The following is a 26,598-nucleotide window of genomic DNA, read 5'->3' on the forward strand; positions in this document are numbered from 1 at the left end:
ACATCTCTGTGCCTTTCTAATTCCAGTCTGATGTGCACGTTCTGAGCTGAGAATACTTTCCAGTGTTTAAAATGAGGTTCTTATTTACTAAAAGCAATATAAATAGAAGATTAGATGATACATACAAAGACAGATAGCTAGGTAGATGATAACAGACAGAAAAATGTTCCTTTTATACTTTTCATTTGGTCCCACGAATTTCTTTTCAGTGAATGTTAAAGAAATGCTTCTTTAATTCTGCAACTCTCTGGCACTTTTAAAATCAAAGATGAGGCTTTCAGGTGACTCTAGGTTTTTTTTAAATTTCACATTATTTTAATGTTTATCTCATTCCTTTTACTCATAAGCTCTTTGAGGGCAGACTCAGGTCTCCGCAAGATAGCAGCCACAGCATAGCAGATGTCTGGAAAATGCTCAGTGAGGAGCAATAAAATCACAATAGAAGTGCCACAGAAAGGGAAGGTTAACTTCTATAGTCAAGAGTGCACAAAGCAGAGGCCCCCCACAGCATGACCCTCAGGTCCCCCCGACAGCTGTGCTAGCTCTCCCTCCCTCCCCACATGAGAATACGGCATCCAATCTGCTCTTAGTTCTGGTTTGCTGAAACGTGCTTAAGGGCAGCCTTGTCTAATTTGGTTGGCTGTACCTATAATCTCTTTTCCCCTCTCTAAAATGCAAAGGTTTTCTTAAATCACAACCTCCTTTCTGAAACCTTCTCTACTTCCCCAGGCAAAACCGTGTGTGTAGCTACAGCCTCAGGCCCTAAGCGCCTACTGCAGCACTTAACACCCCAAGAGGGACAGTGCAGGAATCTCCCCAAGCATCTCAACAGCAGAAACCATCTCTGCAGGGGCCTGGGGAGGGAGTGCTTCTTAAAGCCCAAGTCTTGCGTGATCTATGATGCCCAGACCCAGTTGTGGCAGTGAAGAATTACAGCCAATGTTTCATGTAAAGTGGTTGGTTTATGTCCTTTGATATTTCATGTGGGCAGAAAATTGTTCACGTTTAGCCAAAATACAGAAAGAAGATAATCATCCTTCGACCTGAACTCAATGATCCTAAGAGGTAAAATTCTCCTTGAATCATCACTAATAGAGGTATTCAGATAGGAAATATTACAGCAGAAAATTGGGCCACTGCTAAAGAGGGAGGCAGTTTCTCTGGGAATAGTAAAATGTTTGCTTTTTCCATTTTCCAAATCCGGTTACCCCTGGGCTGTGTCTTTGATGTTAATGTAGCTAAACCCCTGGTGAGATTCTCACAATTTTATCAGAAGAAACAGAAACGGAAGGCTGGGCTCTCTTACTGCTGGCCTCCCTAATCGGGAGGAAATTCACAACAGGCTTGTGAAGGGAAACCCAAATATAAAGCCGGTGTTATTGTTTTTTTCCAGGATGGTGTTTTATGTATCTCCACATCAGCAGTACCTCCAAAAGCATGTCATTATTCAAGCTACTATATTTTTACTGGGCTACATTAATATTATGGCATTTAAAAGGATTTCATTGCAGCTTAGGATAAGTGATGAGGATGTCTAAAAAAATCCACATAGACATCATGACTCTTGTTCTTCCTGGCTCATTTTAGGGAGGTAAGAACACAATAGGTCAGGATCTGTCATATTAACTGAGGTCATCTGATGGCACCTTGTGTGCCTGTCTCTGAAATGCTTTTCCTCTGCACATTTACGACCCCACCCCCATCCATCATACCAGAGGGAAGGGTCACCCTGTAAGGCCCCAGGGCCCAGGGAAGAGCTCAGGCAGGCAGAAAAGCAACATCAGATATTATGAATCTTTCCTCCATTTGGTAGAATTATGGGATTTCTACTTTTCAGCTGTTGGGGTATTCTTTCCAAAGGTCACTCCAAATCAATGAACTCATTAATGTCCTTGATAATGGTAGCCTCATGGCCTCATATGATGAAGAGGCATAACTTGATTCCTGCGTCTACCTTCAGGCCAACCGAAGCCTGTCCTGGAAAGAAATCAATGCAGGCCCTAATGTGCAGTAAGCTCCCAAAAGGAACCATGACAATATGCACAACACTCATTAAACCCTGACAAACACTGCATTTGTGCTTCTCAGGAAAATAAACTACTCATTTGTTTTCTTAACCAAAATAAAGGGCAAAACCTAGTGAGACATACTAATAGAAACCATTTTGCTTCTTTTTAGGGAAATACACAAACATCTTTAATTTTGCTTTTCATTAAAAAAGAATTTGTAGAAGACAAATACCCATTTACCTTCACCAGGATTTCCAAAGGTCCCCTGGCCTAGAGATTCACAGAAACCCAAAGCTCATCTGTTAGAAGCAGGTCTTTGCTGCTCCGACCTTCCCAGGGGATCTCCCAACAGTCAAGGCTGAGCAGCTAAGCATCCCCCAGGCTGACAGGTCACACTTCGCCCTGAGCCCAGTGGGGCACGTTGGGCCATGGCCTGTGAATCATGCTTTTGGGCCCTCTCTTGACTGCCATCAGCTCTCAGCTATCCTAGGTCAACTCTCTGGCACTCCCATACCTGCTCCTAACTCACTCACTTAGTAAGATACTTACACAGGCTTATTTCCATGGCTGATTTAGTTAATCGCTTTTCTCCATGGAAAGAATCAACCACTGAAGGAAGTGATCTCTGCAGAGTACGAATGCTTCCTGGAACAAACTTCCCAGCCAGATCCCAGCAGGCTGGGATGACTTGATAATCCGGGAAGAGGGACCTGGGAGATGGCCATGCCAAGGAATAAATCCAAACTAGCTCGCAGGAGTTACAGTTTATATACAAAGCAGAGACAAATTAACCTTTTACAGGTCATCTGCTGTGCATATGGCATTCAGGACAGCTTCCCTGAAGGTCAGGGCTAATTTAGAAAAAGTCCCTCTGTTCCTGGGACTTCTGTGCTATGCAAGGTCGTTCCCTGAAGCCAAGAATCCCAGTGCTTCCCTGGAGTGGCTCAGCCCCAGCCAGTGTGGAGGGAGGGAGGGTCTTCCTTTTAGCGGCCTCCACCCCGGCACAGCCTGGGTGATGGGGGAGGGAGGCTGTCCTCTGTCCTTATCTGTGCCTTGTGCTGGTAACCAGAGAGAAATATAACCCTTCTCCACCTAAACCTCCTGAGCATGGTTTATTTATTAAGATCTCCAATGTTTTAAACCATGCGTCACCTCCAGTGACTTCATGACCTCCTTTTCTGGGCATTGCTGATGGGTGGAGCTCAGACACTGGGAACAGGGTCTGACTGTAGCAGTGAGCAACAGAAGTCAGGTAAAATGCTCAATTTCCAGACTTTCTATTAGCAGATCATGCCACTGCTTTGGGGCCTTGTTGTCATTTACAAGGTCATTTTTAGTGACAAGTCTATTCGACTCAGGTTGAACGACCTGATATGAAGTCTCTCTCTCCCTTTCTTTCAGTGATTTACTTACAAACCAACCAAAGCTTCTTACTGATGTATTCCTTAATAAGATAAACACCTGTGTTGTATTTATTTTCTAGATGCTGTTGTGAAGTACAAACCAAGCACTTCTCCAAAACTTTTGCATTTAAAATTGTATGAAAGGATGAAGCTCCAGTATCTGACTGAGGAGAGGACATGGGCTTTAACAGTTCCTATCAGAGGGGCATAAATTCTATATTGCATGCCAGCATCATCCCCTCACTAGATACACATTTCCTTTTTTTTATTTAGTTAGGTTCACATTTGAAGGAAAATAAAGTCTGTTCACAGAGATTGCAAAAAGGTGAAACAAGAACAATGAGGATGCTGCTAATTAAAGATGTCTAAAAACAAAAGAACACACGTATTATGCATAACCAAAGAGATTCAAAAATCCTCCTGGTAGAACATGTTCTCACTTGTAAGTGGGAGCTGAATGATGAGAACACAGGGACACATAGAGAAGAACAACACACACTGGGGCCTACTTCGGGGTGGAGGGTGGGAGAAGGAAGAGGATCAGGAAAAATAATTAATGGGTATTAGGCTTAACACCTGGGTGATGAAATAATCTGTACAACAAACCCCCATGACACAAGTTTACCTGTGTAAAAAACCTGCACATGTACCCCTGAACTTAAAATAAAAGTTAAAAAAATCCTCCTGGTAGATATTTCAATTTCTCACCCAGATTTCCAGTTCTCCTCTTCCTTCAGGCACATGCCCCATTGAGGTCAGGCATGGCCATGAGACTTGCTTTGGCCAATTAAATATGAACAGAGATAACATGTGTCACCTCCAAGTGGAAGCACTAAGAAGGCGTTTGTAATTCTCCCATGCTCTCTTCCTCTGCCAGAGCAGACCATGAAGCTGAAAATTTGGATGACAGGGTTAAAAGATGGTGAAGTCTCTATCCTAGGTCACCGAGTCCGGAAGATTGAAAAGGTAGCTCCCAATTCTTCCACTCCCTGAACCTATACTCCCTTGCCATATAAATTGGAGGGCCTCTCCCCTTTGATTCCGAGCTTAGCCAGATGACTGTCATCAAATCCTTCCATTTGCCATTAAGACAACTAACATGACCCCTAAGGAGAGAAGATGAAGATGTTTCAACACTGAAAATTAGCAAATAAAAATGTATAAGGGAGTCTCTATTCTGATTATTACAATCGCATTTGAGTTATTAAGCTTAGTATTTTTCAACACCCTAAGTTAAATTATGATAATTAATCAACATAACAGCAAGGAATGTACTGTTCATTGAAGTGTGAGGGGTTTTGAATTCACTGTAAAGACAATGTTTTCATAAAAACTAAGAATTCCATTCTATCCTAGATTCCTGTAATGTGCTATGATGGCAATGTATTTCAACTTTGATTTGGATCTTTTAAATGCCTCTGGTGGTGGTGTACAGTAACCAACCTCTCTAGCTAATCAATAAGCTGAGAAACAAAAACGGTGTGTCACCGTGAGGGTTTAGTTCCAAATTCTGCTCTCTATAAATGGATAAAATGTTGCTTAGTCAAGAAGTCTGTTAACATGTGTGTTGTGCGTGTGTGCACCCGCATGTGAGGGCATACAGACATGTCTAAAAAAGGCAACTATTTATAATCCACATCGGAACACAGACTATGCTCCTCACAATTCTTTTCCGAAAGCAGCCAACACATTTTGAGATATGCCAACAGTCATTATCCAAGGATGTAAGAACAGGAGCACCATGCATCACGCGGACAGTCGCCTTTCCAGGTAAATAGCACAGAGCAAGAAATCAACACCATTAGAAATGAAGAACTGCAGTTTCTTGGAGGCTAAATTTAAATTTTGTCTTTTCTACACACCAAATATAAGCCAAGAAATTATTCATATGCAAATATACATTTCATTGCTACATATATATTCTTAGTAGAATCTTCAAGAAATAGGTCAGAGATACAACATAACTCTCAAGACATTGGAAAGCACCAAAAGGTCATGAAAACAGGGCTTCCATTTTCCAGATTTTAGTTTCAGAATGTCAGCTATATATGCAATGCTGAGGTCTCTCACAGATGCAAAATACTACTACCTTGTTTTTAGAAGCAGACGTAAAACCACAATTTTCTCAAAAAAGTTAACACAATGGCTACAGTTACAGTGCCGGTAACTAATCTCTCTTCATCAGTCAACCCACCAAAGGATGTCTGAATCAAGCCATTATAAGCCAATACAAAACACTTATTTCAGGTTTACTTACAAAATAGCATCAGCCTTAAGAATACTAATTCTGAATTATGATGAACACATAAACGGAGACCCGATTCCATCTCTGAAATAACCTTTTCAGAAGGTGAGCGTGGTGTCCTGCACCCTGGAGACGCAAAGCCTACCTGAGACAAGTGAAACAGTGTCTTTCTCCCATGAGACGACAGTGATGTACGCCTCCACCGAGGAGGGGATAATGCACTTGAAGACCGCAACATTGCCTCTCATGGTTTTCTGGTCCTCCACACGGACTGTATAGGGCTCCCGTAAAACTGGAAGGCAGAAAGAGGACGTCAGTAAGGCACACGGTCAACAGGCTCATTCTGAGAGTATCTCACTGTAATATATACACTGCAGCACACACACATCAATTGCATAACATATCTTTCTGGAAAACAGTTAAGATGCCTACATTTCACGTCTTTCATCGCCTGACTTAAGAAAACATTCATTCCCTTAACAATACATAGCTGGGTAAGGTGGCTCATGCCTGTAATCCCACCACTTTGGGAGGCCAAGATGGGTAGATCCCTTGTGCCCAGGAGTTCAAGACCAGACTGGGCAACATGGCAACACCCCATCTCTACTAAAAATACAAAAAAATTGCTGGGCATGGTGGTGTGTGATTGTAGTCCCAGCTACTTGGGAGGCTGAGATGAGATTACCTGAGCCTGGGAGGTTGAGGCTGCAGTGAGCTATAATCATATCACTGCACCCAGCCTGGGTGAAGAAAAAAAAATACACTACACTCTATACCAAGGGGCCAGAGTATAATCGAAAATAGTTAATAGACCCCCTGAAGGTATCATGAGATAGGAAATAGCTTCATGAAAGAAAAGTTACTGGCTCTGCAAAGTTATGATGATGGCAAACTGCTATTAGTCCTCTAAGGGCCGAGGAAGATTTTTTTTTCTGACTGCAAAAAATGAATAAAAAATTCAGGCAAGGCAATTTTTCTGGGAAGCCTTGAGAACTCTGAGACAATTAAAATAATTTTTCATTAGTAAATTTTTAAATGACAGTTGCAAAGCAGTTTGGGAAACACTGATCCTGCTTCCCATTGTTTAGGGAAGGATGTTGATTAGACAGCCTGCCCAAACACTCCAATGATAGGAGCATCCCAGAAAGACTGCAGAGTGGACTTCCACGTCCTTGATGTCTAGGCTCAGAGGCAGGGTGGTACTGGTGTTCAGAACCTACCTAGCAGGCCCAACTCCCTGGGTTCAAATCCAAGCTCGGCCACTCCCTGACTGTGGGGCAGTGAGCAAATCCTCTCACCATCTATACCATGGGGATGATGTTGGTAGCATCTGCCCCCTAGGGTGACTGTGGTGAATCAGTTAACGTAGGTGAAAATTCAACAGTGTCTGCTAGAAGCAGGTTGGGTAAGGCCACACTTACCAATAGCCAGAGATGGATCCCCAGGGTTGGGGAAGATCTGTCTCCAGGGAAGTAAGACACTGATGAATATAGTCCCAATTAGATGTGCCAGCCTTACTTCTTTAGAGCTTTGTTTTCCTCAAATTTAAAATGAGGGCATTGTGGTGGGAACCTCTTCAAGGTCTAAATCTTATAAGTCTATGATTTTCTAAGATACCCACAGAGATAACTTATTGTCTAATCATCTAACCACCTCACTTAAAGAATTAATCACTTACTGGACAAATATGTGCCATGAAAATGGTTTCAAAAGGTACTAACACACCAACAAAGCTAAAGGTGAATTTCTCAAGGGAAATCTCCCAGTAGGCAGAGGTGAGCTCTTTAGAAGAGGACTGTTAAGGTCGGGCTAACCTTGTGATATGCTGAGCATTTTTGTAGTAAAGCATGTCTTTCATGAAAGCCTTCCTCTCCAGTTTCCATTTTTAACATTAGCCGTTTTTCCCCAACTTGGAGAATTTCTTCATTATTGTATCTAACCAGAGAGATTTTTCCAAGTATTGAAATCTTCTGCGACCCCCATCACTGTAATCCCCAAGCGGCATGAGGTGAAGGTCCAGGCAGCAACTCCACACCTCCTGCAGGAGGTCCACTAGGCAAAAATTCAGGGCGCCCAAGAGACTGACCTCAGCAACAACATCCTTACACCGAGAGGAGGGAACTGACTTTGTACAGAAAGGCTCCTGCATAAGTAAACCTTTGCTGGGAGCTGAGGTCTACGGTAATAGATTAGAAAAAGACTATGAAGATATAGGCAAACTAATCAAACTCATTGGTGAGAATCTGGGCATGGTGAGAAGCAGAAGACAGAGAGGAGAAGAGGAGGATGGAGGACAGAGGAGAAAGAGGGACTGGTCAACAGAGAGAGTCTACCGTCACAGGAATAGTGCCCCTAAGCAGGGGAATGATTTCAATTTAAGCTCCTTTGTCTGTGTGATGCTTGTTTCTTTGCAATAAAATCACTCTGTCTCCCCAAACCTTCCGCAGACTCTGCTTCAAACATTAATGACTCAAGTAGGATAATTTTTAATAGAAATCAAGGAAAGGGGTCAAGTTCCATGTATCAGACAGGAAAGTGAGAAGAAAAGATGTTCACCTGTTTACCGGGAGACACGGGAAATGCCTTCCCACCAGGTGTACAGCCTACACTAGATGGGATCACAGGAGCCATAAAAATATGGGGTGACTGACCGGGGACATTCCCAGTGTTACCACCCAATGTCCAGTGTCCTAGGAAACCCCTCAGTCCCAGCACTTACCCACATATCATGGAGTTTTCTCCTCTCTAGCTACCCACTGCCCTCACCAGTACCAGGACACCTTAGTAGTCACAATTTTAAACCTGTGTGACTTTTGCTTCTCCAACCTCCAGGTCAGTCCCAAGAAGCCCAGATCTTCTCAAAGCAGGGACAGCACTGTGGTGATCTGAACCCCAGCTCGCTCAAAGGGAATGGGGATCAGAAGAAAACTGCACACTCCCCATCCCTTCTCCTTATTCGATTACTCATTCCACAAAGATAGCCTGTGCAGTGAGCCTTTAAAAAATTATCTTAGAAAATACTTGGCACACAAGAGGTGTTCAATACATATTTTGAGACTGAATATATAGAAAGACAGAGCTTCCATTCTGGGAGAACTTCTAATCCTTTTACAGAATATACATGTATGCACATTTGAATTTATAGCCACTATCTATAGTTTTTTAAAAAAATGCAAATCAGGGTTTTATTAAAGCTCCTAATCTTTGTAATAGAGCATTGTTTGTTCCTGAGGCCTCCATAACTTAAGACACCAACATTGCTGTCTATGGCGATATATCTCTCAGAGGGCCATGTGAGTTTCCTGAGCCCATAGTCAGCCCCGAAGACAGGGGTGCAGCCTTGATCTTCATTCTACATCCAACTACTGCTAACTTTGTTGCAGTAACAGACACTGGGCTAGAAACCTGAGATGCAGGCAAAAAAAAAAATACACTTTGTTTTAAATTTGATTGACATTTGCATTATAAGACAGAGTATTATCTAAGTACTGTGCTTGGTGTCATAAGTTAGGCTCTCCCCAGAGAGCCCAGATCTTCTCAAAGCAGGGACAGCACTGTGGTGCTCTGAACCCCAGCTCGCTCAGAGAGAACGGGGATCAGAAGAAAACTGCACACTCCCCATCCCTTCTCCTTATTCGACCCCAAAAGGAGGAGCTGGGTTCAAGCGACTGAGCAAGGACACAATCCCCTGAGAGGCAGGGAAAGTGTGAGTAGGGCAGGGAGGGAAGCAGCAAAGCAGGTGTGTGGTTTCAGGTGAAGTCCCAGCCACACCTGACATGCTCGGTCATGCAGAGGAGCTGGGATCCCCTGTTGTAGCTGTCTGTCATTGGCTTAGGGCTGGCCTCAGGAGGATGGAACTCCCAGGCATTTCCCACTCTTGTTTCTGTGAATGGTTCCAGTGCCCAAGCAATCCTCTGAAGGCTGCAGGTTCATGTTCTTAGCAACCAGCGCGCAGATCTTGGGGGATCTGATTCAGGGATGCCAGTAGGGTCCACTGCAATCATTTTAGCCTTCATTCAGTAAAATCTGTCATCTTTTTAGATCAGAAGAAAAAAAAATCTCTGGTAATATGACTTTGAAACAAAATCAGGCCTATTTATTTTTTTAATCAAATATTTTCATTGTGATATAAGAGTTGTACATATTCTGGGGTACATGTGATGTTTTCATACCTGTATAAAATGTATAATCATAAAATCAGGGTAATTGGAATATCAATCACTTCAATCTTTTCCCTGTGTTGGGAGCACAGTAAATCTTTTTTCTTCTAGCAATTTAAAAATATACAATAAATTATTAACTATAATTTCCCTACTGTGCCAGCAAATGTTAGAACATATTCCTTCTATTTAACTGTATTTTTATACCCCTCAGCCAACTACTCTTTAACCCCTCTCCTCATCCCCTTGCTTCCCAGCCTCTGGTATCCACCATTCCACTCTCCACCTCCATAAGATCCACTTTTCCAGATCCCATATGTGAGTGAAAACATGTAATGTGTGTCTGTCTGAGCCTGGCTTAATTCACTTAGCATAGCAACCTCCAGTTTCATCCATCATTATATTCTTGTTGGATGGAGAGTTTGCAAATATTAATAGTCTCCCCATTCTGCATGTTGTCTCTTCAACTTTGCTGATTTTTATTTTCTTTGCTGTGCAGAGTTTTTCTGCTTGATGTAATCCTATTTGTCTATTTTTGCTTTTGTTGCCTGTGCTTTTGAGGCCTTACCCCAAAAATCTTTGCCCAGACTAATTTTCTATAGTGTTTCCCTAGTGTTTTCTTTCAGTAATTTCATAGTTTCAAGACTTAGTTTAAGTATTTTGCCCACTTTGAGTTGATTTTCATACACAGTTAAAGACAGGGATCTAGTTTCATTCTTTTGCATATAGATACCCAGTTTTGCCAACACTAATTTTTAAAGAGCTTGCCCTTTCCTGAATGTGTGTTCATGGTACCTTTGTCAAAAATGATTTGGGTATAAGCGCATGGACTTATATTTGGATTCTCTATTCTATCCCATTGGTCTATGTGTCTGTTTTATGTCAGTACTATGCTATAGTATGCCAGTACTACACCTGTGTTGTATTCTTTGAAATTAGACTGTGTGATACCTACAGCTTTGTTCTTTTTGCTCAGGATTGCTTTAGCATTTCGGAGTCTTTTGTGGTTTCATACAAAGTTAAGGATTTTTTTTTCTATTTCTGTGAAGAATGTCATTGGTAGGGATGGCCTTGAATCTGTAGATCACTTTGAGTAGTATAGATATTTTAACACTATTAATTCTTCCAATCAACGAGCATGAAATAACTTTCCATTTTGTGTGTGTGTGTCCTCTTCAATTTCTTTCATACTTCTTTATATTTTTAGCATATCTACTATAGGTTTTTACTTTGTGGTTACCATGAAGCTTACGAAAAGCATCTTATAGTTATAAGAAGTTATTTAAAACTGAAATCAACTTTACTTTGATTACACACACATGGCTTATTTATTGAGCAAGAGATCACACGGTTGGTCTACATTGACAGCAGCGAATGTGAGAAAACATTTTAAATGGTCCATTTTCAAGGCATAATAAATCTAAGCACTGGCAGCCAGCCTGCAGATGTAACAAATTGCATGGCTCATGCACCTAGAAGGTCACGATAAGCAAACAGAATGTAGACGAGGGGTCAGCCCATAAAAGGGAAGAAAGTTTTGTTACTGGGAAATCAAAACTTAAGTGGGGAAGGGGATTGGGTTATAACTTTAAAAGGGGGATAATGAAACTTAGGCGATGTCCAGGAAGATTGTAACTCCATAGTACTCAATCAATGAGGAACTGGGGGAGGGACTTGCTTGCTAGGCAATAAATTACCTGCTCTACCTGCCCTGGGTGTGCCTGCCTAACAGGCGCCTGATCTTGCATCAAAAGTCTTGCTTAGGCTGGGTGCAGTGGCTCACATCTGTAATCCCAGCACTTTGTGAGGCCGAGGTGGGCAGATCACCTGAGGTCAGGAGTTCAAGACCAGCCTGGCCAACATGGTGAAACCCCATTTTTACTAAAAATACAAAAATTAGCCAGGCGTGGTGGCGCATGCCTGTAATCCCAGCTACTAGTGCGGCTGAGGCAGGAGAATCACTTGAACCCGGGAGGCAGAGGTTGCAGTGAGCTGAGATTGCGCCAATGCACTCCAGCCTGGGCGACAGAGCGAGAATCCGTCTTAAAAAAAAAAAAAAAAAAAAAAAAAGAGTCGCTTCTGCTGTTCTTCGTGTCTCTGAGTCCATTCTTTGCATCTGGATGGCTGTATGTGCGTTTCTCACATGAAATACTCATTTTATTGTACTTCGGAGAGATTATGTTTTTTACAAGTTGAAGATTTGTGGAAACCCTGCATCATGCAACTCTATCAGCACCATTTTTCCAGCAGCATGAACTCACTTTGTGTCTCTGTGTCACATTTTGGTAATGCTTACAATATTTCAAACTTTTAAAATCATTATATCTGTTACGGTGATCATTGATCAGTGATCTTTGATATTACTATTGTAATTGTTTTGCGGAGCCACAAACCACATTTACAGAAGATAGCAAACTTAATCAATACAGGTCATATGTGCTCTGCCCACCTCACTGACATGCCATTTTCCGTCTTTCTCCCTCTCCTGAAGCATCCCTTTTTTTGAGACACAACAATACTGAAATTAAATCAATAAATAACCCTACAGTGGTCTTTAAGTATTCATGTGAAAGAAATGGTCTCATATCTCTTACTTTAAATCAAAATCTAGAAATGATTAAACTTAGTGATGAAGGCATATCAAAAGCTAAGACAGGCTGAAAGCTAGGCCTTTTGTGCATTTAGCCGAGTTGTAAATGCATAGGAAAAGTTCTTGAAGGAAATGAAAAGTGCTACTTCAGCGAACAAATGATAAGAAAGTGAAACTACCTTACTGGTGGTGTGGAGAAAATTTGAGTAGATAGAAGATCTGGAGAGATGATTAAACTAGCCACAACATTGCCTTAAGCGAAAGCCTAAATCAAACTAAGTCCTTAGCTCTCTTCAATTCCAGGGAGGCTTAGAGGGGTGGGAAAGCTGCAGAAGAAACACTGGAAGCTAGCAGAGGTTGGCTACTGAGATTTAAAGAAAGAAGCAATCTTTATAACATACAAATGCATGGTGAAGCAGCAAGTGTTGATGGAGAAACTGCAGCAGGTTATCTAGAAGCTCCAGCTAATGTCAATGATGAAGGTGGCTGCCCTAAACAATATATTTTCAATGTACAGAAGATATCCTTCTATTAAAAGAAAATGCCATCCAGGATTTTCATAGCTAGAGAGGAGAAGTCAATGCCTAGCCTCAATGCTTCAAAAAACAAGCTGATTCTTGTTAAGGGTTAATGCAGCTGATGACTAAGATGAAGTCAATGCTCATTTACCATTTCAATAATTCTAAAATTATTTCTTAGAATTAATTATGACAAATCTACTTTGCCTATGCTCTAGAAATAAAACAAGAAGGTCTGGGTCACAGCACATCTTCTTATAGCATGTCATGTTGCACAGGATAGAACCTCCAGGACGATGTAGAATAGAAGTGGTGAGAGCATACACTTTGATATTGTTCTTCATTTGGGGGTGAAAACATTTCATCTTTGACAAGTATGATGTTCGCTATAGCAGGATTTTCGTAGTTGCTTTTTATCAGATTGAGGAAGTTCCTTTCTACTGATGGTTTTCTGAGAGTTCTTTTAATCATTAGTGGATGTTGGGTTTCATCAATGTTTTTCTGTGTCTGTTGAAATGATCACATGGTTTACACTGATTAATTTTCAAATGTGAAACTCACCTTGCATTATGAATATAAGCCTTTGTGGTCATAATGTATTATTCCTTTTATATGTTGTTGGATTCAATTTGTTAAATTTTTAGAATTTTTACATGTATAGTCAGAAGAGATACTTGTCTTTAGTTTTCTTATGTCTTGTTTATGTATTAGGGTAATGCTAACTTCATAAAATGATTTGGGAAATACTCTCTCCTCAATTTTCTGGAAGAATTTGTTTATAATTTTTATTCTTTCTTTCTTTCTTTTTTTTTTTTTTTGAGATGGAGTCTCCCTCACTCTGTCACACAGGCTGGAATGCAGTGGCACAATCTTGGCTTACTGTAACCTTCGCCTCCTGGGTTCAAGCAATTCTCCTGTCTCAGTCTCCCAAGTAGCTGGGACTAAAGGCATGTGTCACCACACTTGACTGATTTTTGTGTTTCTAGTAGAGATGGATTTTCACCATGTTGGCCGGGCTGGTCTTGAACTCCTGACTTCAAGTGATTCTCCTGCCTTGGTCTCCCAAAAGTGCTGGGATTACAGGCATGAGCCACTGTGCCTGGCCAAAATTATTATTTCTTTCTTAAAGGATTAGTAGAATTCAATAGTGAAGCCATTTGAGCCAGGAATTTTACTGTAGAGAATTTTTACCAATAAATTTAAATTCTTTAATAGATATAGGGCTATTCAGTTTATCTGTTTTTCCTTGAGTGAGTCTTGATAGTTTGTGTTTCTCAAAAAATATTTTATTTCATCTACTTTTCTTAATGTTCTCTTAGTATCATTTTAATACCTGTAGAAGATAAAGTGACGTTATCTCCCTCATTCTTGGTATTAGTCATTTACCAACTCTCTCACTTTTCTGGTGAAAAACACACCAATTTTAACAATTTTTTTAAAAGAACTTTTAGTTTCATAGATTTCCTCTATTGTTTCTTTCTGTTCTATAATTTATTGATCTCCATTCTGATCTTCATTGTTTGCTTTCTGCTTATAGTTTTAGTTTTATCCTCTTTTTCAGTTTAAAATGGATGCTGAGACCACTATTTAAGACTTTTTTAAAAATTTCTAATATAAGTTTTTTAGAGCAATAAAATCTCCCTATTTTTTTAGTGGCACTCCCCAAATTCATATATATTGTGTGTTCATTTCTTATTCAGTTGAAAAAACTTTCTAATTTCCTTCTTCAAATTTTTTTCTGAATTTTTTTTTTTGACACAGATCATTTAAAAGAGTGCTATTCAGTATTCAGGTACTTGGTTATTTCTCAGAGATGTTATTGTTAGTGATTTAATTTCATTATGATCAAACAACATATTTTATACAACTTGAATTTAAAACAAATTTATCTGAGATTTGTTTTGTTGCTCTGAGTATGGTCTATATTAGTAAATGTCTGTGTGTCTCAGAAGAGAATTTATATTGTGCTGTTGTTGGATAGAATGTTCTTTATTTAAAGGTCAATTACATCAAATTGATTGATAGTGTCATTCACGTGTTTTTTTGTTCTTACTGATTTTCTGTCTACTTCTACCAATTATTGAACTAGGAGTATTGAAATCTCCGGCTATAATTTTTGATATGTCTGATTCTCATTGCAGTTCTATCCATTTTTACTTTATGTATTTTGAAGTTTTGTTGTTGGGTACATAAACATTTACAATAGTCATATCCTCTTCACCTCCCCCCTTTACATTATGAAATGAACTGCTTTAGCTCTGAGCACAGGGGATTTTTAGGGCAGTGAAACTGTTCTTTATGATACTGTAATGGTGATACCTGCCATTATGCATACAACTTACAACATAGAGTGAAATTTAATGTGAACTATGGACTTCAGTTAATAATAATGTATAAATACGAGCTTATTGTCACAAATGTATCACACTAATGCAAGATGCTCTGAGCAAACAGTGTATTTGTTTGGAAATACACTTTGCTTAATATTAATGTGGCTATTCTAGCTTTCTTTCAGTGGTTTACTTTAATTAGGTTGATTTGATTTGATGAGGATGGTATATCATTTTTATCCTTTTACTTTTAAGCTATTTGTGCCTTTGTATTTAAAGAATGTTTCTTTTAAGCAGTGTTAAATCCAATCTGGCAATTTCTGCCTTATAATTCAGGTTACTGGAACATTTAAATTTAATGTGGATATTGATACGGTTAGGTTTATCATTTTGCTATTTGATATGTATTTTTTTTTTACCGTGTTTCCTTTTTCTTATCATTTTCTTCTTTGTTTTGGATTGAGGATTTTTTAATGATTCTATTTTTTCTCCTTTGTGGGCTTATTAGCTATAACTCTGTTTTGTTATTTTAGAGGTTGCTTTAGGTTTTGTAGTATACATTTGTAACTTATCACCATCTATATTCAGGTGACATTACACAACTTCACATATAGCAAAATAACCTCCAATATTACACTCCCATGTCTTCACTGTAGGCCTTAATGCTATTGTTGCTATAAGTTTTACTTCTGCCTATGTTACAAACTACCTAAGACATTGTTACTATTTTTGTCTAAATAGCCAATTATTTTTTAAAATATTGCAATTTTTTAAAAAATCTGATTTAGATACTCATGTAGTTACCATTTTCATTGCAGTTCTTTCCTTTGAGTAGATCTAAGATTTGATCAGGTGTCATTTTTTTCTTCTGATTCTAGAACTTCCTTTAAGATTTCTTGTAGTAGGATTCAGCTGATGATAAATTTTCTGCTATTTTGTGTCTGAGAAAGCCTTCATCTCACCATTATTTTATAAATTTACTTCCACTCTTGCCTGTAATCCTAGCACTTTGGGAGGCCAAGGCAGGGCAACTTCTTGAGCCCAGGAGTTAGCGACCATCCTGGGCAACATAGCGAGATTCCATCTCTACAAAAATAAAAATAAAAATCAGCCTGATGTGGCGGCATGCACCTCTGGTCCCAGCTACTTGGGAGGCTGAGATGGGAGGATCACTTGAGCCAGGGAAGCTGAGGCTGCAGTGAGCGATGATCACCCCACTGCACCCCAGCCTGGTTGACAGAGCAAGGCCCTGTCTCATAAAACACACATATACACACATCCACACACACACACACCCAACAGCAACAACAAAAATCCTGTCTACTGTCATTCTTATCTTTGTTCCTTTGTGTGTAATATGCCTTTCTTCTGTAGCTGCTTTTGATATTTTATTATTGCGCTGAGCAATTTTATTATATTATGATGTGCCTTTGTGCATTTTTTCTTCACGTGTCTTGAGCTTGGGGTTTGTTGAGCTCCTTGGATCTGTGGGTTTATAGTTTTCAACAAATTTGGAAAATTTTGGCCTGCATTTTTCCACTTCTTTTTAAATTTCACCATCCCTTCCCTTGGGGCTTAATTTGTCATTAAGCTTCCTGAAGCATGTTTTAATTTTTTTGAATAAAGCTTGATTTTTTTTTAGAGCAGTTGTAGGTTTAGAGAAAAGTTCACAGCAGGTTCCCATATTCTCCCTCTTGCCACATCCTTTAATTTCTTTCATTATTATCATCTTGCATTAATGTGATACATTTGTGACAATAAACTCATATTTATACATTATTATTATTAACTAAAGTCCATAGTTCACACTAAGTTTCACTCTATGTTGTAAGTTCTATGCATAATGGCAGGTATCACCATTACAGTATCATACAGAACAGTTTCACTGCCCTAAAAAAATCCCCTGTGCTCCGTCTGTTCAACCCTCCCTCCCTCCTGACTATCCCCTGGAAACTACTGATCTTTCTACTGTCTCTCTAGTTTATCTCTTCCAGAATGTCAAGTAGGTGGAAGGGTATACTATGTTGCTTTTCCAGACTGGCTTCTTTCACTTAGTAACAGGCATTTAAATTTCCCCCATATCTTTTCATAGCTTGATAGCACATTTTTTCTATCGCTGACTAATACTTCATTTTATACTATAATTTGTCTAATGTTAAAGAAAAATTGTAGCTGGGCCCTGTGGCTCATTCCTGTAATCCCAACACTTTGGGAAGCTGAGGCAGGCAGATGGCTTGAGCCCAGAAATTTGAGACCGGCCTGGGTAACATAGTGAGAATACCCTCTACAAAATTTTTTTTTTTAAAGAATTAGCCAGGTGTGGTGACTTATGCCTGTAGCCGCAGCTACTTGGGAGGCTGAGGGGAATCACCTGAGCCCAGAAGTTGAGGCTGCAGTGAGCCACGATCCCATCACTGCACTCCGACCTGGACAAGAGAGGGAGATGTCCTCTCAAAAATATTAAAGAACAGAAAAAAATGTTCTAACACTTATTAAAAAGATAAGATTATATTCATGTCTGTTCCAGTAGGAGTCATCTATGATGACTGCAACAGGGAAGGGTAATTCAACTTCATATTCAACAAGGATAAGTGAGGGTTTATAGCCAATGAACACAGTGAGGGGAGCAGTGGGTGGAAAATTAGAAAGAGGAGACATCAAGGGATGAGGATTCTTGCTAAACTGGCCTAACAGATTCTTGCTAAAATCAGGCCAAACATGTATACATCAAAGATGGGACTGGAAGAACTTGATCAGATATTAAGAGTGATCAAGTATCAAGAGTAAGGGGATGATTTAGCAGGATTCTTGCTAAAGCTGGGGACAAGAGACCAGATGTGAAAAGCTAAGGTTGAGAACTAGTTGAGAGGAGGGCTCAGAGGAGCCTTTCCAAAGTTAGTCAAGGAGAGATTCTTTATCCCCATCCACTCACATACTAAACAACATCTTTGTTGCTTCCATGTTTTGGCAATTAGGAATAAAGTTGCTATACAAATTTATGTGCAGATTTTGATATTCTTTATCCCAAAGCATAAGGCAAGCATAGGACACATCTTATTTCCAGCTCCTTAAGGAATGCTTTCCTCTACTGCCTGAGGTCCAGTCTTGAAAATGGTTGCTTCAGATATTTTGTCTGCATTTTTCGTTGTTTTTTTTCAGTTGGTTGTATTAGTCCATTCTCACACTGCTATGAAGAAATACCCAAGACTGGGCAATTTATAAAGAAAAGAGGTTTAATTAACTCACAGTTTCAACTGCCTGGGGAGGCCTCAGGAAACGTACAATCATGGCATAAGGCACCTCTTCACAGGGTGGCAGGAGAGAGAATGAATGCAAGCAACGGAAGTGCCAGATGCTTATAAAACCATCAGATCTCGTGAGACTCACTCACTCTCACGAGAACAGAATGGGGGAAACTTACCCCATGATTCAATGACCTTCCACTGGGTCCCTCCCAGGACCCATGGGGATTATGGGGATTATCATTCAAGATGAGATTTGGGTGCGGACATAGAGTTAAACCCTATCAGCCTCAGGACACTGGTTTTTGGTTGTTTCAGATAAAAGGGTAAATGTGGCTCCCACACCTCCATCTCGGCCACAAGCAAAAGTCCTAGTCAAATGTTAGAAAGCAGTTTGTGGCCGGGGTCGCTCATGCCTGTAATCCCAGCACTTTGGGAGGCCGAGGTGGGCAGATCACGAGGTCAGGAGATGGAGACCATCCTGGCTAACACGGTGAAACCCCATCTCTACTGAAAATACAAAAAAGTTAGCTGGGTGTGGTGGCGGGTGCCTGTAGTCCCAGCTACTCTGGAGGCTGGGCAGGAAAACGGCGTGAACCCGGGAGGTGGAGCTTGCAGTGAGCCGAGATCGCGCGACTGCACTCCAGCCTGGGAAACAGAGCGAGACTCCAGTCTCAAAAAAAAAAAAAAAAGAAAGAAAGAAAGAAAGAAAGCACAGTCTGCTAAGGAGAAAACAATCATGAGAAATCTTCTGACTTGCCCAGGATCAGGCGGCTCATTGCTACTTGCTCTGTAGCAAAGGCAGCCTGGGTAAGGAGCAATACTGTCTGAAGTGGCCCACCTGCATTCCAGCCCTTAGAACAGGCAAGAAAATATCTTATGTTAGGACTAGGATTGATGATTAATGAGACATGATGAGTAAACCTTCCTTCAATTGCTAGCACCCAGACCTAGGTCAAAATTTCTGAAATTTAAGAATGAGAATCCCTTGTGCTGCCAAGGGAAAGATTATGAAGTCATTCTACCTAATAGCTTATTCCAGGAAAATCCAAACACCAATCTACAGGGATATTTAGACATTTAGGATGACCTGATACAGAAGAGGATACCCCGTGAGTGAGCAGTCATCACCCTCAAACCTACCCTTCAGCTGTCAAAGGGTAGCATTTATGCCCTTCATCTGTCTTTTTGAACAAGCTTCCAGTTCTGTACTCATATTTACATAAACAGGATGAAAAAAGATTTTCAAGTATCCAGTGAACAACCTAAAAGATTATTATAACCATTATGTGTTCACAATAAAAAGCAAAATGAAATCAGGAGAGAAATTTGATTTGGGTAATATGACTGCCCATCTTATATGTTCAAACTGATACAGTAGTCATCCATATGCTGGATTCATAGTCCATAGGGTTTCAGATGTCAAGAACGCCAGCACATAAATAGTAAAAGCACAACTGGGTAGGAAGAGGCAGGTAGCACAGACGCCAGACAAGATGATGCAATGTCCATGCTCTAAAACTTTCAGTGTCATGCAAAAACAATGAATTCTATGACTAATTTAGAAGATGATAGTTAAAACAGGAGTAAGCATTTCATTCCTTTATCTGACAGAAAATCCAAGGCAGACATAATGGATTAATACGCACAGATGGAGCTGTTTGAAATTCTAGGTTTCCCTATAAGTGGTGTTTTGCAGATTATAAATACGCTTTTATAACACATCATTAAAATGTGCAGTCTTCCCAGTAAAAGTCATTCACTGTATCTCCCTGTTTGTCAGGTTTAGAGGTCCCTATACAAATTGCATTGTAATTATTTGACACATCAAATTTTCATATATCTTGATTAAAGACAATCCTTTTTTTCTTTCTTATGTGAATTCTCATGCAGGTCTTGGAATTCATGAGCATGTCACAAAGATCAAAATATAGTTGGGAAAATGACTAGCTAGCAGCATGAGTCATAGTCTAATGTTTGATGGCTTACATCAAAGAGATCATATGCAGGAATTCAGAAACACCTCATATTTTTCTCATGTTGTGATGTCTTCTACCAGCACCTACTCACTTACTGAAGAAATTATTGCAAAGCTCCCCCAGCTACCTGGTGTATAAGAAAAAAATCAAAGTCACATTCTCTTTGCCCTGCTATTATATTATGTCAGTCTACACAAGTATTTCAGAGCTAGACTTAAAAAAATTAAAATGCTGTTTGCTAACAGGAGTCTAGCTGTGAGTTTGTTTTGCAGGGCTTTGTTAAATCTATAGAACCACACAATCTGTCCTGTATATATAGCCCTTGATGTCTGTGTATCTCAGGCAGTATTCTTTCCTGGGTTGACTTGTAGCAATGGTGATTAAAAAAAGACACAATATGTTGTTAAAAGGAACATAGCCCATTCAGGATTTATGTACTGACAACATTTCAGCAACATGTGATACAGTCAAAAATGTTAAAATAGCCTTTCTATTTCACAAGGAAAGCAAGGATATTAGATTGATTCTGTTTCCATAACAGTACATCTTGATGCTATGGTTTTATTCCAGCTCAACCATTTGTCATTTTTTTCTCTCTCTTTCTCCTCCCCTAGGATGGGGTAGGGGAAGGGCAAGTGGGAAAAAAGGAGGGGTGGAAGCAAACACATTGGGTTTGAGACACTGAAAATTTGAATTAGAGTATCAAATTAGACAAAATATAAGGAGGCTGGGATGTTAGAACTTGCCAACTTGCTAATCACTGCTTTCTTTCAAGGTTTAGTTCCAACAATGTAAGGCACTTTGAAATCTAAACAAGGAGACCTTAAAGAAGTCATCAGCAAGGTCAGAATGAACTGATGATGGGGTTTTCATTGGTTCTCTGCTGTGATGGCATTTTGCTATGTGTCATTGTCATTATCCTCCCATCCCAAGCAGGCACAGAAAAAACAAAGCCCAGAGCTGTACTCACCAGCCTTGATGTGGACATCCTGACTTCTAATTTTCCCTGAAGGATTTTCAGCTGTGCAATAATAAGTATTATCATGGATTAAGGTACTGAAGCTTGAAGGAGGGAAGGGGAAAATTTGGAGAGTGCCGTTGGGGTGGACGTGGCGGATCCCGGGGACATCGTAGATCTCCTCGCCCGTGGCTAGGTACCATCTGAGAGTCACAGGAGGGATGCCTGCTGCGGGGCAGGGCACCAGAGTCCCCGTGGTGCTGGCAAACACTACCTCTTGCAGAGATGCATTGACAAAGTAGAGGCTGGAGTGTAGGTCTTCACTGAAAACTGCAAGAAGACAACACAGGGATCCATAGGTGAGTAAAACATGCCTTTGACATTTGCAGTTCAATGTCTGGCCTCAGAAAGTTATCCTGAAAATTAATCATGAGGCGCAGGCTCAAATAAAACCAAATAATTCAAATTTTCTGAAAATGCTGTGAGCAGACAGGCTGATACTAAAAAATAAGGCACCATCCTAATTTCACATTTTGTACACAAACTGTTAAGTTATCCTGGATGTTAATTTTTAATAGATTGTTTTTTTGCCTCATGCCCCAAACCCTGTTCTCTCCCCACACTGACCACCATTGGACTGTATATATTTTATATTCACTTATTGTCTATCTTCTGCCACTAGAGATAAGCCTCATGAGGACAAGGTCTTAATTTACTCCCACTATTACCTGGAGCATAGAGCCCAGCTCTCACTGGACTCTCAGTAAAGGGAAGCTGAATGTGTGAATGCCTAGATCTTGTTGCTGGGATCAAATTGCTCTCTTTACTAGCTTCACTGAGGGTTATTATGCAATGAAATTTGCCACATTTTTAATTAAAATTGCAAATCATATGTAAAACATTTTATTTTTTATTATACTTTAAGTTCTGGGATACATGTGCAGAATGTGCAGGTTTGTCACATAGGTATACACGTGCCGTGGTGGTTTGCTGCACCCATCAACCCGTCATCTACATTAGGTATTTCTCCTAATGCTATCCCTCCCCTAGTTCCCCAACCCCAACAGGCCCCGGTGTGTGATGTTCCCCTCCCTGTGTCCACGTGTTCTCATTGTTCAACTCCCACTTATGAGTGAGAACACGCGGTGTTTGCTTTTCTGTTCCTGTGTTAGTTTGTTGAGAATGATGGTTTCCAGCTTCATCTACATCCCTGCAAAGGATATGAACTCATCGTTTTTTATGGCTGCATAGTATTCCATGGTGTGTATGTGCCACATTTTCTTTATCCAGTCTATCATTGATGGGCATTTGGGTTGGTTCCAAGTCTTTGCTATTGTGAATAGTGCCACAATAAACATATGTGTGCATGTGTCTTTATAGTACAATAATTTATAATCTTTTGGGTGTATACCCAGTAATGGGATTGCTGGGTCAACTGGTATTTCTGGTTCTAGATCCTTGAGGAATCTCCACACTGTCTTCCACAATGGTTGAACTAATTTACACTCCCACCAACAGTGTTAAAGCGTTCCTATTTCTCCACATCCTCTCCAGCATCTGTTGTTTCCTGACTTTTTAATGGTCACCATTCTAACTGGCATGAGATGGTATCTCATTGTGGCTTTGATTTGCATTTCTCTAATACCAGTGATGATGAGCTTTTTTTCACGTTTGTTGGCTGCATAAATGTCTTCTTTTGAGAAGAGTCTGTTTATATCATTTGCCCACTTTTTGATGGGGTTTTTTTTCTTGTAAATTTAAGTTCTTTGTAGAGTAAAGCATGTTAAAAAAGCACCATTATCAGAAAATACAATGTCAAATCAACAATACACTTTTATTTAAAATAGGACATAACAATAAAGAGAATTTTGACAAAAGCATGACTCAACTCCACCAGCCTACAGTGTCTGTTTTGATTTTTACATTTCCCTTGTGGTCCACCTGCCTCCATGCCTTATCTATATAATTATATCATGTTAAAGTGTACATACGTAAAATGTACCATTTTTATAACTGTTTAATTCTTTTATACATCATCTACATTATTCCATGGTTCTATACGGACTTCACAAGTAAATATCAGTGAATGCACAATTTATACATATTCTTATGAACTGTTTTTCTGCTCTTTTCATTTAAATTGTTTCTCTTTTCGCTTCTACAAGTAAATATCATCAAATGTGTTCATACACATTTGGCTTTTTAATTCATTTAAGGGCCTATAACAAGTGTTTCTGGAGTGTTGGTTATGTGAAGAAATAAAACGTGACTTCCAGAATTTACAAGTTAAATAAAAGATTTATAAATATAATGAAGGCCTACTTGTCACACATCTGAGCTTCTCCATGACTTTCTAAAGCAGGTGCATACCTAGTTACATATTTGTAAGAGAGAAGAGAAGCCCCAGATATTTCGAATGAACTTCACTGGTCAGAAGTGAGAATAACATTTATTGTATGCTTCATAGTATCTCATACCAGACAACCTTCTAACACTCGAGATGAACAACAGCTCCGCTAGGTAAACAAAGGCTCCACTTTGCAGACGGTGACATGGAGATTCACAGGGCTGTCACTTGACCAAGGACACAGGATACAGGCTGTCACTTGAGCAAGAACGCAGGGCTAGGAGGTGGCAGAACTAGATTCAGTCTTTCTGATGAAGGCTTTTGAGATTTTTGTTTTCTCATCTTAGAACCAAATGTGGCATAACAGTCCCCCCTCATTTGTGTGGGGATTACAGGCAGCTCTGTATAGAGTGGGTCTATGGCCTGTGCTTCCAGATCTAGTCTTTCTCCGTGGTGTGGAGCTGAGGGGTTACAGGCTCCTGCTATGTGCTGGGGTTGCTACTAAGTCTATGTGATAAAATACATGAGCCCCTCACTTTGCCTGTAGTTAACTGACATGATTTGGTAAGAAAGAGATGAAGAAATTAACACTATTTACAAAGGTGATTGGACTCATCTTATAATAATAAGATTTAACCTGCTCACTAAATGTGAGGGTAGCGGGTGGTCTCCACCCTGCTGTTAGGAAGCACAGCATCCAAGCATTGGCACAAGGCTGAATAGATGTGGTTGACTCTACTCACAGCATGTTCTTCCCTGCTGCCACTTGGTGGACACTGTGGGGCTCCCTTCAGATTTCCTCTTTAGCGCCAATGCACCCTGCCCCAAAGCAGCTGGAAAGATCCTATGTTGAGTCCTACACTGGGAACCAGCCCAAGTTACAGGGAACTGCCTTGTCTGAGGCCTGCAGGGAATGACTGGTCAAAGGTGGCTCCACAAGCCTGGCCCCCTCGTGTTAAGTTGCAACAATGCTGAAGGTGCATCCCACCTGAGACCGCTATCATCAGAGCTTTGCAGAGAAGCTTCTCCCTCCACTCATTCTGCCTTCCTCACACCCTTGCTGATGTCTCTCTTGAGAATACACTCCCAGGAGGCCTTCTGCATGCAACTCTTCCTCTGAGCATCTCCCTTCAGGTAACTCAACAGGAGACATCAAATGAGGCTCTGCTAGTTACCCTCTACAACCATGTCTTTCTGAAATGTTTTTCTATTTTAAATAAAGTAATCAGAAAGTGCCAACTAACATCCCATGTAAGCTCCCCAATAGAGCATGAGCAATAAATAAAATACACCAAGATGGAAGAAAGTACTAAATCTGGATTATCACTGGATTAAAACATTTTTACAAGCAATAATTATTACATTGAATAAGGCAATGACACAACTAAGACTCTCAGGCTGTTATGTTTTTGGGAACCCATTGAATCTGGACAGTGACAGTGTGTAGTTTGTTTTATGAAAACATACTCATGTAAGAATCTAACATTTCAAGGTGAAACCCCGTCTCTACTAAAAATACAAAAAATTAGCCGGGCACGGTGGCGGGCGCCTGTAGTCCCAGCTACTCGGGAGGCTGAGGCAGGAGAATGGCGTGAACCCGGGAAGCGGAGCTTGCAGTGAGCCGAGATTGCGCCACTGCAGTCCGCAGTCCGACCTGGGCGACAGAGCGAGACTCCGTCTCAAAAAAAAAAAAAAAAAAAAAAAAAAAGAATCTAACATTTATCTATTATATAAACATTTTGATTTTTAGTTAAACTTCACATATTCAATGGGCTCATAGCCCTAAGCCTAATGCCTAGCAAGCTGTGTGTGTTTCGTAAATGCTAGTTGGTGCATTCACTGTCCCCATATTTTTTCATTTTCCCATCTCATAATTCATGTGGTATGTCAAACTTCTGTTGATAATATAATGTAACCTTTTGAAGTATTTTTGGAATTTCTATTTTACAAAATTACAACTCTTTTAAGTAGATTGGAATTACCTCTCACAGTTTAGGAACTGACTGTATAGAAGTTGAGACAGAGAGAGAGAGAGAGAGAGAGAGAAGGTGGGGGGTACAGGCGAAAGCCTTTAGCGAGGTCCTGATATAGAGAGATGCTTACAAACTGTGGCCCCCCTTCCACTATGAACAGGAAAGCCTACATACTGATGTGAATTCTGCTCCCCTGTGAGGGACACACAATGTAGATGTCTCCAAAGTAGATGGGCCCCCGATAAGACCCTCTTTCTCCTTGATCAGGGGAAGCATCAAAAGCTATTGTCAATCTGTGCGTCTCAAGAAGTGTCTTGTTCAACAATGCTGGAAATAACATGGATGATCTCACACTTGAAGACCTACACCTCCTTGGGGATGTTGGCAGATGATATCTACCTGACAGGTCCACTACTGGGGTGAGATCTGAGGGTCACTCTGGCTGTTAGGCCATATATGGCACCAATGAAAACTCTAACTTTTCACTGGTGTCATATAGGATGGAAATGTTACCAGGGCCAAAGGCTTCAATTATAGAAAAGTTTATCAGTATAAACACAGTGGTCAATGACACACAATCCTGCAGGGCATTGAGACGTGTGTTGTGTCACAGTTACATTAGGAAACTTGCTCTCGTGTGCCTATATGGAATGTAGACTTCTATTTAGTAAAACCAAGAAGGTTAACCCCTAACCTCACTAAGGAGAGATGGGAAGGATTGCTGTCTTTCCTTGCACAAATATACCTTAGAGTGCACATGGCAAAACTTCATTCTTTAACTAAGGTTAGGAAATATATCAATAAATATGTTGGTGTGGGGATGAGGAAGGGCAAGTGTAATGAG

At 40.3% G+C, this 26,598-nt stretch overlaps 1 protein-coding gene across 3 annotated transcripts in view; it reads right to left on the reverse strand.

The window, feature by feature from the left end:
- DSCAM (DS cell adhesion molecule) overlaps nt 1-26,598 on the reverse strand; it is an 836,160-nt gene that overhangs the window by 676,009 nt on the left and 133,553 nt on the right. For all 3 annotated transcript variants that reach the window (NR_073202.3, NM_001271534.3, NM_001389.5), the window contains exons 2-3: nt 21,447-21,764; nt 5,803-5,949 (exon numbers count right to left, since the gene is read on the reverse strand). Coding sequence is in view for 2 of the 3 variants with exons in the window: in NM_001271534.3 (NP_001258463.1) it covers nt 5,803-5,949; nt 21,447-21,764 (465 nt within the window). In the remaining variant the exon portion in view is untranslated. The remainder of the gene's footprint in view (nt 1-5,802; nt 5,950-21,446; nt 21,765-26,598) is intronic.

This window comes from Homo sapiens, chromosome 21 (genome assembly GCF_000001405.40).
Source record: "Homo sapiens chromosome 21, GRCh38.p14 Primary Assembly".
NCBI classification, from domain to species: domain Eukaryota; kingdom Metazoa; phylum Chordata; class Mammalia; order Primates; family Hominidae; genus Homo; species Homo sapiens.